Source organism: Homo sapiens, chromosome 20 (genome assembly GCF_000001405.40).
Source record: "Homo sapiens chromosome 20, GRCh38.p14 Primary Assembly".
In the NCBI taxonomy this organism is placed as follows: Eukaryota; Metazoa; Chordata; class Mammalia; order Primates; family Hominidae; genus Homo; species Homo sapiens.
In genome coordinates, this window is record NC_000020.11 from 45,531,153 (window position 1) to 45,548,383 (window position 17,231).

Below are 17,231 nucleotides of genomic sequence, written 5' to 3' on the forward strand. Positions count from 1 at the left end.
TATGGGTGTCTCTTTCTTCTTTCTCTCTCCCTATCCTTCCTTCTACTCCCTTTTCATCTTTTTTTTCTTTCTTTTTTTTTTTTTGAGACCAAATCTCGCTCTGGAGTGCAGTGGCGCAATCTCAGCTCACTGCAACCTCCGCCTCCCGGGCTGAAGAGATTCTCCTGCCCCAGCCTCCCGAGTAGGTGGTATTACAGGTGCCCGCCACTATGTCTGGCTAATTTTTGTATTTTTAGTAGAGACAGGGTTTTGCCGTTTTGGCCAGGCTGGTCTTGAACTTCTGACTTCAAGTTATCTGCCTGCCTTGGACTCCCAAAGTGCCTGGGATTACAGCTGTGAGCCACTGCTCCTAGCCCGTTTCCATCTTTGATCACCTATTCTGTGAATAAATTTTCTGAAAACTTAGCACTTTAAAGCAACCATTTTATATTGTGGGTCAGCCATCTGGGAAGCAATCTGCTTGGTGGTTCTTTTATAGGGTCTTTCCCATGGTTGCAGTCAGATGTCTGCTGGGGCTGCAGCCATCTGAAGGCTCTATTGGGTTGGGCATCTCATTTGCATGGCTGAAATTGATGCTGGCTATCAGTCAGAGCTTATCTGGGCCTGCTGATCACAGCACCCACATGGGTCTCTCTAGCATGGGCCTCTCTCAGAGTAGTTGGACATCTTACATGGCAGTTTCCCACTGCCCCCAAACAAGCTACATAAGAGGATCAAGTGGGACTTGCACTTATTCTAGCTTAGCCTTGGAGGTCACATAGCATCATTTTTGCTTTATTCTCTTGGTCAAAGCAGTCACAGAGTTTTCTCAGATTCAAAAGGAGGGGACATAGATCCCACTTCTAGGTGGAAGGTGAGTGAAAGAATTTTAGGACCTTGCTTTAAAACAGTCACACCATCCAGTGTCTTTTCCTCCTTCACCCCTTTCTTCTCCCTTCCTCTTTAACTCTTCTCTGCTTTCCTCCATCTCCCCCTTTCATGCCTGTCCAGCTATTTTCAATTTTGGAGTTTCTGCACCATACTATGGAACTGTCTTCTTTACTACAACTCCAGTAAACAAGTCCATGAGCCCTTTCAGAGACGGACTTACCATGAGGTCGATGGAGCCAAGCCTCAGGGTCCTCGCTCGAGCGAGCCCCTTTTAAGATTCTGGGAGTGCTTCTAGCTATATGTTTACATGGTCAGATGACTTGTAATATCTGCAAAAGTAAGATATTCTAACCATAATCGCCAATCCACCTTCCCTTTCCACTCTGACCTTTCCCTCTGTCACACTTCTCCTAGGTCAGGTGGTGTTTGGGCGACTGCCAGCATTTTAGGCATGCAAATTAAAAGGAAGTTGAGTTGGGGATATATTTATTTTGGAGTTAGTAGAATATATTTAGGTCGTTAGCTGTCATTTGTATGTGTAGGAAGTTGCTGCTAGCTGTCCTGGTGGAGAAGCAGCTGCAAATAATACTCCTGTTTTCTACTGGGCCTATTCCCTTGATGTTATGACACTAAGTTATGGGACTAGAGGTTGCACTGTAAAATGAATGTTCTTAGCCCAAGAAGGTTGCGGGTGGTAGAGGAGAAACAAGTTTTGAAATGTGTGGAGCCAGGAAAACAAGCCTGTGTAGCATTCTTTCAAATATCAGATACATCAATTTTTTTTTTGAGATGGAGTCTCACTCCACCGCCCAGGCTAGAGTGCAATGGCACGATCTTGGCTCACTGCAACCTCCACCTCCCGGGTTCAAGCAATTCTCCTGCCTCAGCCTCCTGAGTAGCTGGGGCTACAAGTGTGCACCACCACACCTGGCTAATTTCTTGTATTTTTAGTAGAGATGGGGTTTCACCACGTTGGCCAGTCTGGTCTTGAACTCTTGACATCAGGTGATCTGCCCCCTTCGGCCTCCCAAAGTGCTGGGATTACAGGCATGAACCACTGAGTCTGGTCAGATACATCACATTTTAATTAGAAAAAAAAAATCAGCTCTTATGGAAGCCTGTTCAGAAGTTCTTTTGTAGTAAGCATATACTTGATAATTCAATATGTACAATTTTAAATGTACCATGCATTTTTTCTTTTTTTAATAGAGTTGTACAAAAGATAATTTATTAAAATTCCTGTGTTTCTAGGACACAAACCTGTAACAGAACTGCAGACATCAAGCATGGCTTCAAGCATTCAGGTACATGTTTTATCCAATTCACCTATAATAAAAATTAAAATATCATATTTTGATCCCCACATTAAATAAAAAGTTATCTTTCCATTCTCTCCACAGAAATAGTGCTTTACAGAATTGAGGTCATAAATGTAAACAATGAATTATTAATTTATATGGGTTTTGTGCAATTTTTACTGTTTGTCAGCCTTTAAAAATTTGCAGCTGGTTGCAATTTCCCTCCTCATTTGAAATAATATTCTCTTTTGTACTCATTTGTGCTTGGTTTCTTTCTTTTTTCTTTTCTTTCTTTCTTTCTTTTTTTTTTTTTTTTTTTTTTGAGTTTTGTTCTTATTGCCCAGGCTGGAGTGCAATGGTGCAATCTCAGCTCACTGCAACTTTTGCCTCCTGGGTTCAAACAATTCTCCTGCCTCAGCCTCCCGAGTAGTTGGGATTACAGGCATGCACCACCACGCCTGGCTAATTTTGTATTTTTAGTAGAGATGGTGTTTCTCCACGTTGGTCAGGCTGGTCTTGAACTCCTGACCTCAGGTGATCCGCCCTCCTTGGCCTCCCAAAGTGCTGGGATTACAGGCGTGAGCCACCGTGCCCAGCCTGTGCTTGGTTTCTAAAGGAGCTCCTCATTTATCAGGTTTAGACCATACAAAATCTGGATCTGCACTGGCTCCATTCTTCAGCATCTTAACGACAACTTTACCAAAGTAACAATGTCACTAGCATTCTCAATTTGCAGGATTTTCATACTCTCTCCCTTTTTTGGTGTCACCAGAAAATGCAATGGCTTTTTGTTCTCTGAAAATTGCATATAGAGAGATGTGAGTGTATGTCAATATCAGCATATTGCAGATGTGAATTATTCAGCCTCGGAGAGATCGGACCCCACAGAGCACTTTATTAAGGCAACTGAAGCCTTCATACAAATAAATGGGGGGTCTGAAAGTTGAAGACATAGAGTTTCATACTGAGAAGTGGTCAAGGGGAAGAGCATTGTGTTTGAAGAGATGCTACGCTGGAAGAAAGTGTGTAAGCAATTCCTGGGGTTCAGTTTCTGGAACAGCCAAGGTTTGGCCCGTGGAAGCCAATTTGGAGCATCAATCAGGCACACGTGGAGAGAGGCCTGGATTATGAGCCAAATCCTGGAGGTTATTCAAGCTCCTCCTTATGGTATAAAGTAAGGCTGACCTGTGAAGCAGAAGAATAAAGGGTGAGATGCTTGGACCCTGACCACATTAGGAACCAAATCTTGCACCTAATGGGAAAAAGGAGGTGGGATCATTTTTACATCTTTGGGCAGGAATGGAATGAAGGTGAGTTTGGGGGCTCCTAGAATGATCATGAGTTCTGACTTGTCCAGTAGAGTCCCAGTTTATGCCTGTTGTCTCAGTGTAATAATTAATGGCACCTCACCTTGAGACACTTTCAAAAGTGATTTGGTTTGGCCAATAAAGTATGTGGTTGCCCTGGTTAGAAATAACCTTTCAAAGGAAGAGAAGTAGCAACAAGGTTTAGTGAGAAGTAAAGGACTATAATGATTGGCTGATGAATGGTGCCCAGGGCTGGGCTGGGTTTACCGGGCTTCCGTCTGACCTGGTCTGGGATACTCCACCACTTCTGTTTTCTCTCTACACCCACTACTCACCTCATACTTGCCAATATCCCTTTGACTAATCCCTCCCTTCCCACCCTCTTTCCCAAAATATCCTTCTACTTATACTTCTGCATTGGAGCTGGTTTTGTCATCCCCAGCGCCACCCAGGTCTTGGAATAGACCAGCCAACACCCAGACCTCCCAGTGTGGCCTTGGTGAGCACAGGAGACCGGGACCTCTGGGACTTATGGTATTTTTTGCAGGTGACCAGACAGATAGCTTCAGTTTGGAAGTTGTTATTGTTCCCCTGGCTACCGCCATAGATGAATTCGGAGCAGATCTTAGTTTTTTTTATTGTACCACCAGTGTGGTATGGAGGCCAGGCAGGGGCCAGCCTCCTGTGGCATACTGCATATATCTGCAGGGAGATCGCAGAATAGAGCTGTTTGGGTGCCTGTCTCCCTGGAGAATGTCCATCTCTCCCCTTCTCTGGCCACCATTCCCTTTGTCTCCACTGAGAAGCAAATTTGCCTCAGGGCTCTGTTCCCAATTCAGTGTGAACCCTGACCACTCATTTTACCTCTCTGGTCCTTGACTTCCTCATCTGTAAGATGAGAATACAAAATCCCAACCTGCTCGCCTAACAGGGCTGTTGGAAGGAGCAGCTGTGACATCACATGGCTTCTTTTTCCTTGCCTCCCCAACATCTGAACACTAAATCTGGCTGATTTTGCCTCCTAAATAGCTCTCCTTTATTTCCTTCCGGCTGCTTTCTTAATTCAAGCATAATTATCTTTTGCAAGGACTCCATGAAAGGCCACCAGCTGATCTCCAAGACTTCTCCAATCTGCTCAACATTGGTTTCCAGAATGGCCGATCTGCTGGGCACAGGATAAAGTTCTACCAAACCCAGAGGGACTTCAGAATCCATTTTCTCCTTCTCCTCTCCAGCTTTATTTCTTATGCTGCCCCAACACCCAACTTCCCAAACTTATGCTCTAAAAATAGCACTTTCTTACACACCCCGTGCCTTTGCACATGCCTGACATATCCAGCCCCCTCTTGCTAAGTGAACTCTTGTTCATTCTTTAAAACCCTTTCCGGACATTGACTCTTTTATGCAGTCTTTCCTGGATTCATTCTTTACTCTTTGCTTTTCTTCGTTGCTTCTCAGTCTTGCACACACATTTATCATTTCCATTTACTTTCTTGTTCATATTTTCTGATTCCTCCATGAGAATGTGAGGTTTTTGAGAGGGGATTGCATCTTATGCCATCTTGATACAGCAGTTTCTAGCAGGTAATTTGGCATAGAGAGGATGCTTCAGGAGTATTCACAGAAAAAAAAAAAAACCCAAAACTCAAATCTACCCTGATCTTAAGCATTTATTGAGCAATTATTTTGCCCATAGTGCTATGAGGTACAAATAGAGTTCTTTAGAACCTCAGGTCTGAAGCACGACAAAACAACAATTGTAGCATTGATTAGTGTCAGCACAACAAAACAACAATTATAGCATTGATTAGTGTTCTTAGTAGTTGACATCTATTAACATTTAATCTTGTAAAGTAGGTCCTCTCATTGTTCTCATTATGCAGATGAGAAAACTAAGGTTTAGAGAGGCTAAATAACTTTCTTGAGGCCACACAGATGGTAAGGGATTTGAACATAGGTTAATCCATTGCTGTTAGGATCAAGACCAGATCCCTTACCAGCTCTCCTTCCCCCAACTAGCCCAGCTTCATCTTCCTCTCTTTTTAAAATTTGTTACTTGTTTATTTATCAAGAGAAACTATTTCTCAGCCCACATATTCATGCTTCATGGTTCAGGAACACAAGTCAGTGACAAACTTTAACCCAAAGAAATTCTTTCAATTCCAAAATCACTTTGTACTCTGAAAGATACCAGCCTTCCTCATCTCCTGAAAATCTGTTATAGAATTACAATTTCTCTAGAAATCTGTGTATGCCTTATTTCTTGGTTCAGCAACAGCGAACCTATAGAGAGCTGCAATCCATAGGGATGCAACAAATGCTTAAACAATATGAAACCACAGATGCCTGGCTGGAAGGCCACACATTTGAGGTTTTATCAAAGCACTGAAAACCTAGTTATTGTCTTGAAAGGTATGTCAACCTAAAGTAACAAGATTCAGAAAATATCATTAAGTAGGGCATTTATTTGACCCCAAAACTTGAGGATGGCCACTTGGGAATACAGATTCAAGTTGCCCTGAATATACACTACCAGTTTCCTGTTTCTTGTCTCTTGCTCACTCTCTGCTTTCTAGCCTTTCTAGACCTGAACATCCTGCCTCCTGCCACAGAGCCTTTGCACATCCTATTATCTGGCCTGAAAGGCTATTTCTTCCCATTTTTGGTCTAAGTACTCATCTTTCAGATCTTAAATCATGGATCTCTTTCCCAGAAAAACTTTTCTGACCTTCCTGGCCACAATGAGCAAGTGGAACCCATCATGGGTGTCAGGGGCACCAATCAATATTTGTTGAATGAATAGAATGAACGAATGGTCCTTGATGATCTTCTTTAGAGCTCAATAATATGGGCAGAGAAGAAAGAGTGTAGGCGGTCTAAGGTGGTCAGGGAAGGCATCCTGGATTTATGTAGACAGAGAGGCCTAGAGAAAAAAGCCAGGAAATACAGATTATATACCTGTCTCTTATAGCTATCATATAACCTGACACAATGTTGGCATTTGATGAGACTTTGGTGACTACTTGGCATCTCGAGAATCACTGAAGAGTAGCCAAGAGACCATGTGGTCCATTATCCACACCTGTCTTATGGAAAGGGAAACTGAGGCCCAGAAAGGAAAACTACATTGTTCACATCACTTACCAAAATAGAGGAAGAAATGAAATAAAATCCATGTCTCCCAAGTCCAGGACTGGCAGATTTGTGTCAAGTAGAAGATGTACCTAAACTCTTGGTCAGAGACCAGCCATCAGTGAACTAGGAGACAGAGGTAGTGCAGTGCAGGTGGAGATAGGAGGTGAGGGCACTGGGTAATTTAGGAAGCATCTGAGTTACCTTTCTGAAGTCTAAACATTTCTTTCCACGGCTGAACGGGCAACACTTCATGTTTTCTGGGCAATCTCTGGGTTTGGTACACTGGTCTATTTCTTCCACTTCGCATTCCACTTTGATTTTGGGACACGGCTCTAAGGGAGGGGAAGATATATTCCCTCAAGGCCTTAAAGGAGCCAGTGCTCCCCCTCCCCGAGACCAGGGCACCCCTCCAGAGTTAGAGAACTTTGTTTCCACTTCACCTATCCCCAGAAGGTAGTGGCCCTCAGGGGGCTCAGGAATTTCACAACACTGCTCACATCCCCAACCCCATAACAACTCACCATCGGATGCCTAAACCAACCCCTACCCCCTACCCGCACCATCTATGAGATTCCTGAGAGAAAGACGCATTCCTCTAAGACTGTTCTGGTCACTCAGCCTTGCTGTGCTTGGTTGCTCCCCCAGGAGGTGCTGTGGCTCTCGATGATTGAGATTAACATTTCTGGCATCAGATAGCTGGGCTTTTGAATTCTGTGAGACGCTTGGTGTGCCAGGCACTCTCTCTGAGCCTTGATTTCCTCATTTGCCCATAGGGTTGCTTTGAAGACTAACCAGCAACACAGTTTGACAAGCCATCGTCAAACTGCCTGGGGCAATGTAACGTAACAATGAGTAATATGGATGAAGCACTTACTGTGAGCTGCCTTTTCTCCTTAATCCTCATTACAAATCTATGGGTAAGTACTCTTAATATTCACATTTTGTAAACAGAAGAATTGGAAGCATAAGGAGATTATGTGAATTTGCCCAAGATCACACAGCTACTCAGGGGTGGAGCCAGGTTTGAACCTACAATGTGTGGCTCCTGAGTGCTCACTTTCAACCACTAATTTTCAGTGCCCAGTACAGTTAGCTGCTAATTGTGAGTCTTCACATTTCAGCATTCCAAGGGACTTCTGGAGACCATTCTTTAACCCAAAGACCAGGGTCCTCTGTGGGTATGGGTGTGGGGGCTGCAATGAGAACATTTGGAAGTTGACACAGGTGGTGTTGTGGGGAGCAGCCTGTTTTTCTTGTGGGAGACTTCCTTGGGCTTACTACTCCTTCTTAGTTCATTTCATGAGCTCTAGGTCCAGGCACCTCCAGGAAGAACTCTTTGGAATGGCAGCAAGGAGTCACTTGCCACAGATTTGGATGCCTGTATTCACCAAGGGAGTCTCTTACCAAGAGACTTCAAATAGCTCCCCTCTTTCCCACCTGGAATTCCAGGCAGAGGTGGAGAAAATAATTTCTCAGCTGCAAAATTATTCTTTGTTCCTTCCTCCCCACTGAGTTTCCTTTCCCCATTGCAAGGACGGAGTTCCCAATACTTACTGCCAAGGATGCCTTCAGCGTGCCCAGGTTCCTGGATGTCCCCCAAAAGGATGAATGGTACCAGGATTGGCAGAAGTCCTGAGAGTCCCATTTTAGGAAGTACTGGCCTGGTTGATGGCACCAAAACTAAGAACTGCTCCTCAGCAGCTCCTACATCTGCACTTTGCCTGCCCCGGTGTGGCCCAGCACCTTAAGAGACAGCCCTGGAGACAAGCCAGCCAGACTCCCCGATCAGGAACACCAGATCCCTGAGGCCATCAGTGGGACTACCTGGTACCTACACTGGGGGATAGGTGGCTCCTAATCCTCAGCAATCTGAGGCTTTCTGGTCTACCAGGGAAAGAGGGCACATGTTGTCTTGGGCTTTCCAGGCTCCCTTAGCAGAAGGGGAGGTTTAACTCCAGAGTCTTCCATTTCCCAGGGGGAGTTTGCAGGTTAACAGTATGCTAGCTCTCTTCCTTCTTTCTAATTTCACTCTTCTCCTGACATGTCTATTCTTATGTTTTATTTTTCTCACTCTGTTTCTTCTCTTTTCTGTGCATCTGTATGTCTTTTACTCTGTGCCTGTCTTTTTCTCAGGGAGTCTCTGTCTGTCTGAGTCTCTTTCTCCCCGCCCTTCACTTCCCTCTCTCTTCTTTCGTATGTAAAGATCAGTTACATTTATCCTTTAAGTCGTTTGATTTTGCAACAGTAAATAACTTCTTTCATTACTTTGGGACTTCTCCAACTCTGTTCTCCGTTTTTCCCTGTTGTCACAGCTACAGCATTGGATTAAAAGTCACACCCTGAAGCATTAACGCTTGAGCATCTGTACCAAGTTTTATATCCTTGGTATAAGCCCGAAGGAGGTGAGGAGCCAGTTACCTGGGCATCAGTTCCATCTGGCAAAGGACTGTGGGTAATGGAAGCATTTCTGCAGGGTGGCAGCAGGGTGTGTGTGCAGCAAGGCATGTCATCAGTGGTGAGTGAGAAGTTCATTCCTTTTTATGGCCGAATAATAGCCAATGCACATTGACAGCCTCCTACCTCTAGCATCAGTCCCTAATTTTCTGCTGTGGGTTTTCTCTGGCCCCCAGGGAGCTTGTATAGCTTGCAAGTATAACAGTTTGAAAGAGCGAGGGATTTAGTATCCCTGGCATCCAGTGGGCGTTGGGAATCAGTGGACAAATAGCTTAGCTTTCCCATCACTGGAGACAGATTAAGAAAATTTGTGGTCTGATATCCAGAATCTACAAGGAACTTAAACAAATTTACAAGAAAAAAAACAAACAACCCCATTGAAAAGTGGGCAAAGGACATGAACAGACACTTCTCAAAAGAAGACATTTATGCGGCCAACAAACATATGAAAAAAAGCTCAACACCAGTGATCATCAGAGAAATGCAAATCAAAACCACAATGAGATACCATCTCATGCCAGTCAGAATGGTGATTATTAAAAAGTCCAGAAACAACAGATGCTGGTAAAGCTGTGGAGAAACATGAATGCTTTTACACTGTTGGGAATGTAAATTGGTTCAACCATTGTGGAAGAGAGTGTGCCAATTCCTGAAAGATCTAGAACCAGAAATACCATTTGACCCAGCAATCCCATTACTGGGTATACACTCAAAGGAATATAAATCATTCTTTTATAAAGATACATGCATGTGTATGTTCACTGCAGCACTATTTACAATAGCAAAAACATGGAATCAAACCAAATATCCATCAACGATAGGCTGGATAAAGAAAATGTGGTACATATATGCCATGGAATACTATGCAGCCATAAAAAGAAATGAGATCACGTCCTTTGCAGGGACATGGATGAAGCTGGAAGCCGTTATCCTCAGCAAAGTAACGCAGGAACAAAAGTAAATACCACATGTTCTCACTTGCAAGTGGGAGATGAACAATGAGAACACGTGGACTGTTGAGGGGGCAGGGGGAGGGAAAGCATCAGGATAAATAGCTAATGCATGCGGGGCTTAATACCCAGGTAATGGGTTGATAGGTGCAGCAAACCACCATGGCACAGGCTTACCTATGTAACAAACCTGCAGGTCCTGCACATGTATCCCGGAACGTAAAATAAAATAAAATATTTTTAAAAAGAAAATTTGTAAGCCTGTTTTACATGATTCTTTAAAAGGTCCCCAATAGGATTGAGCCACAGTAGTAACCAGCTCATAATAGACTCTTCTCTCTTCCCTTCTCTTCCCTGAATTACTCATCTCACTCCCCATCTTGTATGTCCTGGGAAATCTCTCAAACAAACTACCTGCACCCATGCCCTTTTCCCAGGGTTAGTTTCTAGAGGATCCAAACTAAGGCACTGTCCTTGGGCCCTTGCCTAAAAAGGGTTTTACAATCTTTTGTAGAAACAGAGGAAGATAACAATAACAATATTCCTGGAACTCTGAACTCTCAAAGTTCTGATTGTCTTCACTCCCTTGAATGATGTCACCAGAAGCCTCAATGATCCCTTACTCTGCAAAGTGTAATGTGCCAAAAAGATGTCAATCACTCAGCCTCAAGGCACAGGACTACATCAAGTACTTTACTGGAAAAAATTGAGAGTGACACAGGTATAAACTGGGAGTTCTAGAAGTTGGAGATAAAGGGGACATAAAGATGAAATCAAAACGGATGGATATTGTGCATCAAAAGAGCCAAAGATGGAGGAAGAGGAGGTAGATGCAAGCGTTCTGTTCTGGGAAGGGCTAAGATCTTGGAATGCTGAGAGTGAAACTGGAAGCCAGTCTGGAGCATCCGTCAGGTACAGGAACAGTACTCAGAGCATGAGCCACATTCTGGCAGTTCTTCCAGTGCATCCTTATCCAATCAGGGAAAGCCTGCAGAGAACGTAGGACAGAAACAGCTGAGCATCTTGGGTTCAGCTCATCTTTGGAGCTTGAAGTTATGTTTATACATCTTTGCACAGAAAGACACTAAAAAGTAGTGGGTTTGCTTTGGGGAGCTCTCCATCTCCTTCAAGGAAAAACAAATAGGAGTGAATCGCTGCCAAAGAGTTGTGTTGAGACATTGATGGCTTAGAAGGGTTGGTTGGTCAACGTGTCTTAAGTTTAGCGTCCTGTGCCTCTTCTGCAATTCATCTCTGAGATTTCACCACTTCTACACCCTTCCTCCACCCCTCCTAATTCCCCTCATACTTGCCAGCATTGATTACTTCTACATCCCTTCTCATCCTCAGTTCCTCATACTCAGAAAGTAACTTTGTCTTGCCTTTTGCCAGGTGCATTCTTACCTCCTGATCAGAGCTGGTTCTGTCAGCACCAGGTCTGCCAAAGATGTAGCTGTCCTGGAATGGACCAGCCAACACCCAGACCTCCCGGCATGGGACTGGAGAGGATGAAAGACCGGGGCCCCTAGGACTTACGTTTATTCTTGCAGGTGTTCAGGCAGTTGGCTTTGGATTGGAAGTTGTTATTGTTTCCCTGGCAGCCACCATAGACAAACATGGAGCAAGTATTATCTTTCTTGTCATACCACCAATGAAGAAAATAAGCCAGGCAGGGGCCAGTTTCTTTTGGCATTTCGCATACATCTGCAGAGAGACTCCAGAGTTGAAAACTCAGTGTGCCCACTCCAGAAATAAACAGTTGTTATTATTCTCCCTGGCAACTGCTATAGAAGAAACTGGAGTAGGCTCCTTTTCTCTTATCACATGGCAGGAGCACAGCTCCACTGACATATTGCACACATTTGCAAGGAGACCCCAGAGTGGGCATCTGCATCCCTGGAGATAGGGTTGTTGCAGGTGTAATTAGCTAAAATGAGGTCAGACCAAAATAGGGTGGGCCCCTATACCAATATGACTGGTGTCCTTATACAAACAGGTTAATTTGGACAGAGGCACACACACTGTGAGAACACCATATGAATGTGAAGGCAGAGATCGGGGTGATGTGTCTACAAGCCAAAGAACACCAAAGATTGCCAGCAAAGCACCAGAAGCCAGGGGAGAGCAATGGAACATGCTTCTTCCCCATAACCCTGACAAGGAACCAACCATGCTGACACCTTGATCTCGGACTTCTAGCCTGAGGAACTGTGAGACAATACATTTCTGTTGTTTAAGACTCCCAGTCAGTGGTGCTTTGTTATAGCAACTCTACCAAACAAATGCAGGTCCCAACTAAATAATGCTTACACAGTTCCATTTGGGTAAATCTCCACTGCTAAACAATTAGATCCTGTTGATTTTTACCTCCTAATAGCTCACCTCTCTGCCAGTCTCTTTAATATAAGCCTCAGTGTCTCATGCCTGGACTGTTGAGGTGACCTCAGATTGATCCCCCTGCCTCCATTCCTGGCCCCTCCAATCAATCCTTCATGCTTCCCACCAGAGAGAAGGATCTGATGGATCTGAGAGCCAGGCTTATCATGTCATTGCACAGAGAAGACCTACCTTCACTCTATGACAATGTCCTCCCATGACCCACAAGGCCCTTCATTGTCTGGCTCCTACTGTGACGCTGGCCTCCTCTCCTGCCGCAGAACCCCTTTGAGCCACATGCTCCAGCAGTACTCAACACACCGTGCTACCTCTATACCTCCATCCCTTTGCACTGCTCACAGTGACACTCTTCTTACTTCAAAACCTTTCTCAGACATCAACTGCTGTGATGTCACTCTTGACCCCATTCTACATTCCTCACTGCCACACCTTGCTTCAGAGTCTTGTGCATTCATTTTTCATTTGTTTATATCTTCAGTCTCATCCCTGAGGCTGTGAGTTTCTAGTGAGCAGGGAGTGAGTTTCTAGTGTATCTGCTTTCATCTTGGCATCCCAATTCCTAACAGGTAGCCTGGCACAGTACAGAACCTTATGGAACGTTGAGGATAAACGAAATGTATCCTGATCTGAACTGAATAAATTATTCATTGAGCACCTATTATGTGCTCAATGCTTCAAGGAACAGAGAAAAGGCATGATCTCTGCTATTTAGGAGCCCTTAGCCAAGAATTACAAATAAGCGAATAGGTATCAGGTGGCTACTGTGTGCCAGGCATAACTCTAATCACATCATGCAGATCAATTGGATCCTCAAAATAATCTTTTACACTGATCCTTTTATTATCTGAGGAAACTGACTCACAGTGAGGGAAAGTTGTTAATTTATCCAAGACAAAAAGGCTCGTAAAAACTGGAGGTAAGAGTTGAACTCAGGATGGCTGAATTCAGAATCCTTACCTGCTGGCATATGAGTGACTTAGCCCCCTAACCTGCCCACTCTACTTCTCTGTCAAGTCCTGTTCACTTTGCCTCCTATGTCCTACTCTTTCTTTCAAGCAGGTCCTACTCTTCTTCATCCCCTCAGCTACCTCTAGTTCCGGCCACCATTTCTATCATCTTGAAGTCCTTTAAGATACTCTGTTCCTCCTATTTTAAACTCGATAGATGTAGTATGAACCTGGTCATATGATGCCCCGCCTCGGTGGATTGCCATAGCCCTTGGGATCCAGGCAAGACTCTTTAATCTGGCCCACCATACCTGAATTGTTTGATCTCTGCCCACCCAGAATCTGTTTTCCTTGTACCATGCTCGTGCTCACTCTGCGTTCTGGACTCCCAAGGCCCCACCACTGAGCCTTTGTGCATGCTACTGCCTGTGCCTGGAAAACCCCTCCACCCACTTTTTGCCTAAAACATTACCCATCTTTCTCAACTCAACCCCAGATTTTCTTTCTCAAAGAAGGCAATCCCAACCCCCCTGACCACACTGAGACCAAATCCTATTGTGGGTCTCAGAGGCACTCAATCAGTATTTGTTGAATGAATAAAAACAGAATCTTTGATAGTCTTTTTGCATCCCAGGGTGATGGGCATGAAACTAAGATGCAGCAGAAAGGAGAAACCCTCTGTTCTGGAGCAGTCAGGAGAGGCGTTTTGGTGCAAAGTTGGATTTGTGTAGGCAGAGAGGTGGTCACTCCATAGCAAAAAAGTTGGGAAATATAAATTGCTTAATTTATCACTTGCAGCATATGTTAGGGCAACGATGGCCACCTGGGAGCTCAAAAAATTATAAGAGTGACAGGTATCCAAATAGCCAAAAGAATCTGATTCAATGCCACTGATTCACCAATGATTTGTTCTGGGAAACTGAGTCTCAGACATTACCTGATAGGATAAGGTCATTCCTAATGGCACACACCATATTTGGCACAGTAATGAATCTAAATCGCAGGTCTCCCAAGTCCAGCAGTTTTGCCAGAGACCAGCCCTCAGCGATCAGGGCACAAAGCCAGTCCAGGAAGGCAGAAGGTGAGGACAGGGGGAGGAGGGGTTGGTTATTCTGCAGCTCTGAATATTACCTTGTTTGAGATCTAAACATTTTTTTCCGCAGCTGAAGACACAACACTTCTTGTTGTCCTGGCATTGTCTGTCCTTTGTACACACATCCCTTTCTTGGAATTCACATTCTTCTCTGATTTTGGGACATCTCCCTAGGGAAAGAGCGGTTTTACACCCGTGTGCCTTAGAGAGCATAGTGTCTCCCCACTTTGCCAGACACAAGGCAATTCTAGAGAGTCAGGGAAGTTTGCTTTCAGTTTGCTTGCCCCCAGGAGTTCTTTTCCTCAGGGCAGCCTCACTCATTTCCCTACTGCCTACACCCCCACCACTCCCCAGTGACCTCTCCTCCCTCTATTCCCACCCCCCAGCTCCATCCCATCTAAGGCAGAATTTCTCAACCACTGGTGATATTTGGGCTGGATAATTCTTTGTTTGGGGGGCTGAACTGGGGATTGTAGGATGTTTAGCAGCATCCCAGGCCTCTTCCCATCAGAATCCAGTAGCACCCCTGATTGTAACAACTGAAAATGTCTCCAGGCACTGCAAAGGTCCCCTGGAAGGCAAAATCACACCATTGTGGGCCACTGATGTAAGCCAATGCGGTCTTTTTGGCCTTGTTGAGGAATCCATGTTTGGAAGTTCCTCTAGGTGGTAGTATTATACAGCAATTAGTATCACTTACCCCGGAGCCAGTTTAGATTTTGAATTCTGACTTGGTCTGAATTCTGACCCTCTCTGAACCTTGGTTTCATCATCTGTAAAATCATTTTGCCCTTACGGATTTTGTGAGAAAACAATGAGACAAAGTATATAAAGCCCTAATCAAAGTAACTGATGCACAGTCATATTATCTAACATTTGCTAAGTATTTACCATAAGCCGAGCACTCTTCTAAGCATTTTAAATGTATGATCTCATTTAATCTTTATAATTGCTCTATGAAGGAAGTTCTATTAATATCCCCATTTTACACATGCGGAAACTGAGACCCATGAAATTTAAGTAACTTGCCCAAGATTACAGGGCTACCAAGATTTGAACCCACTAAGTCTGATTCCAGATCCCTCTGTTGTTTTAGAAATCCCTTTTCAGAAATCCTTACTTCCTGAGTGTTCAGCAAATGATACCAATGATCATTGTTACATTATAGTCATGGAATTAATATTCCACAACTAATGTGTCTTAAGTTTAAAGAGACTTCTGGATGCTGTCCTTTATCTCAAAGTTAGGGAACCCCTAGGGATACAGGGACACTTTATGGGACTACATTTGAAAGAACCAAGAGTGGATAGAGATGATGCCTCAAGGAAGGGGCCTGTTTTGCTTGTGGGGTAAGGAGAAGGTCCCTTGGTTTCCCGGATTCCTGTAGCGACTCCCCTGAAAGCTAGATCCTGTGACTCTCCTCCACCTGCTTGATAAAGACCCTCCACTTCAAAGGAGCTGAAAGTGGGGATTGCCTAAGTTGGGGTTACTGCATTCCCAGAAGGAATCTTACACAGGAGGGATCTTACAAATATCTCTCTCCTCTCCCAACCCGGGACCTGGGCTAAGATGGTGGAAAGCAACCCACATCTGAAGAGTTCTTCCCTGTTCCTTCCTCCCAGCAAACTCCCCTCTCTCTAGGGTAAGGGCTGAGGCCAATACTTACTGGGAAATAACCAATCAGTCAGACCAGGTCCCTGGACATTCGCTAAGAGGACGAATAGCACCAGGAGGCTCAAAAGTCCAGAAGATCCCATGTTGAAGAGAGGCCAGCCTTTCTGGTGGTTCCCGAATTTGGAATGCTCAGCTGCTGCACCTTGGATATAAGAACTGGAGACAAGCCAGCCACCCCCTTTCTTGCTGGGAACACTAAGTTCCCAAGGTCACAAATGGGACTAACTGGCACCCACAGCTCACAGCTTGGGAGGAAGGGTCTCTTATTGAATGGATCTTGATCCTTACACCCCTAGGCTGCACTGGGCTGGGGGCTCTAGTCAACCACAGGGAGTGGGCAAAGCGTGTCTCCCACTTTCCAGGCTACCTTCAGAGTGAATGCCACCATCTTGGGTCTTCATCTTGATAACTTGGAGAGTGGTGGAATGTCCTCATTCTTCATTCATTTTCCATCGTACGTGCACACTTACTAGCACACTCCTTCTGCTTGTCTCTGACAATGTGTCTCTGTCGGTCTCTTGGTATCTCATTGTTTATCTGTGCCTCTCTGTGCCTAAGTCTACTGTTTCTCTTTCCCCATGGTCTCTGTGTTCCTTTCTCCCTCTCCCACAGTTTCCTCCCATCCTTCTGTCTTTTATTGTATCTTTGGTTCACTCATATTCGTTGACTAAGGCCAAAGAATACAGATTTGCCACAGAGCAGGGTGTAGGGGAGGAATCAGGCTGATAGCAGAGTCTTCAGAGAATGTTTCTCAAAGTTTTGTTGCTCTGAGAGCAAGAGAGGATATCAGAGCTTAGAGGGAGCCTTTATCATCACTGCCAGCTCCTTGATGTCTGAGGAACTATGAAGTGAAGGGACTTGCCTGGGAGACTGCAGTGGAATAAAGTTCAGTAACACAGCAGACTTTGGGGATTCTAACTGGGCTGCTAGAGGAGCTGTGGGAAAGAGGTGCTGGGGAACTTGGACAGCTTTCCTTTCCTACAGCCATGGAATCTACACTGGCCACTCAGCCAGTCCTGGGAAGAAGAGAGACACTCTTTACAGAGTAAATGTTATCCCGAGGGCTCCCGTTTTCTTCTCTAACTAGGAGTTACCCTTTTGGGCCAAGT

The 17,231-nt window shown here is 44.6% G+C and overlaps 3 protein-coding genes, 1 long non-coding RNA gene and 1 pseudogene across 5 annotated transcripts in view; 1 reads left to right on the forward strand and 4 right to left on the reverse strand.

Annotated features, from left to right (window-relative positions):
• The window catches only part of LOC107987282 (uncharacterized), a 52,776-nt gene extending 43,541 nt beyond the window's left edge, over positions 1 to 9,235 (forward strand). Inside the window, exons 2-4 of the long non-coding RNA XR_001754641.3 lie at positions 2,122 to 2,174; positions 7,384 to 7,527; positions 8,923 to 9,235. This is a non-coding gene — a long non-coding RNA (uncharacterized LOC107987282). The remainder of the gene's footprint in view (positions 1 to 2,121; positions 2,175 to 7,383; positions 7,528 to 8,922) is intronic.
• On the reverse strand, positions 3,044 to 8,330 carry WFDC6 (WAP four-disulfide core domain 6). The gene is made up of 3 exons (NM_080827.2): positions 8,165 to 8,330; positions 6,812 to 6,942; positions 3,044 to 3,353 (listed from the first exon to the last, which is right to left on the reverse strand). The coding sequence occupies exons 1-3, from the start codon at positions 8,253 to 8,255 to the stop codon at positions 3,315 to 3,317; spliced, it is 261 nt and encodes an 86-aa protein (NP_543017.1). The 5' UTR covers positions 8,256 to 8,330; the 3' UTR covers positions 3,044 to 3,314.
• On the reverse strand, positions 5,128 to 16,249 carry EPPIN-WFDC6 (EPPIN-WFDC6 readthrough). Its single transcript, NM_001198986.2, has 5 exons — positions 16,115 to 16,249; positions 14,487 to 14,618; positions 11,548 to 11,715; positions 6,812 to 6,942; positions 5,128 to 6,398 (listed from the first exon to the last, which is right to left on the reverse strand). Exons 1-5 carry the CDS (start codon positions 16,203 to 16,205, stop codon positions 6,381 to 6,383), a joined length of 540 nt encoding a protein of 179 aa, NP_001185915.1. The 5' UTR covers positions 16,206 to 16,249; the 3' UTR covers positions 5,128 to 6,380.
• Positions 8,823 to 9,134, reverse strand: HSPD1P21 (heat shock protein family D (Hsp60) member 1 pseudogene 21; annotated as a pseudogene).
• Positions 9,474 to 16,249, reverse strand: EPPIN (epididymal peptidase inhibitor). Of its 2 annotated transcripts, none has more exons than NM_020398.4 (4): positions 16,115 to 16,249; positions 14,487 to 14,618; positions 11,548 to 11,715; positions 9,474 to 11,002 (listed from the first exon to the last, which is right to left on the reverse strand). In NM_020398.4, exons 1-4 carry the CDS (start codon positions 16,203 to 16,205, stop codon positions 10,992 to 10,994), a joined length of 402 nt encoding a protein of 133 aa, NP_065131.1. In that variant the 5' UTR covers positions 16,206 to 16,249; the 3' UTR covers positions 9,474 to 10,991. The 2 variants fall into 2 exon arrangements, with proteins under 2 accessions (NP_065131.1, NP_001289790.1); NM_001302861.2 differs by having other exon boundaries at positions 11,548 to 11,726.
• Positions 16,250 to 17,231: the final 982 nt, after the last annotated feature.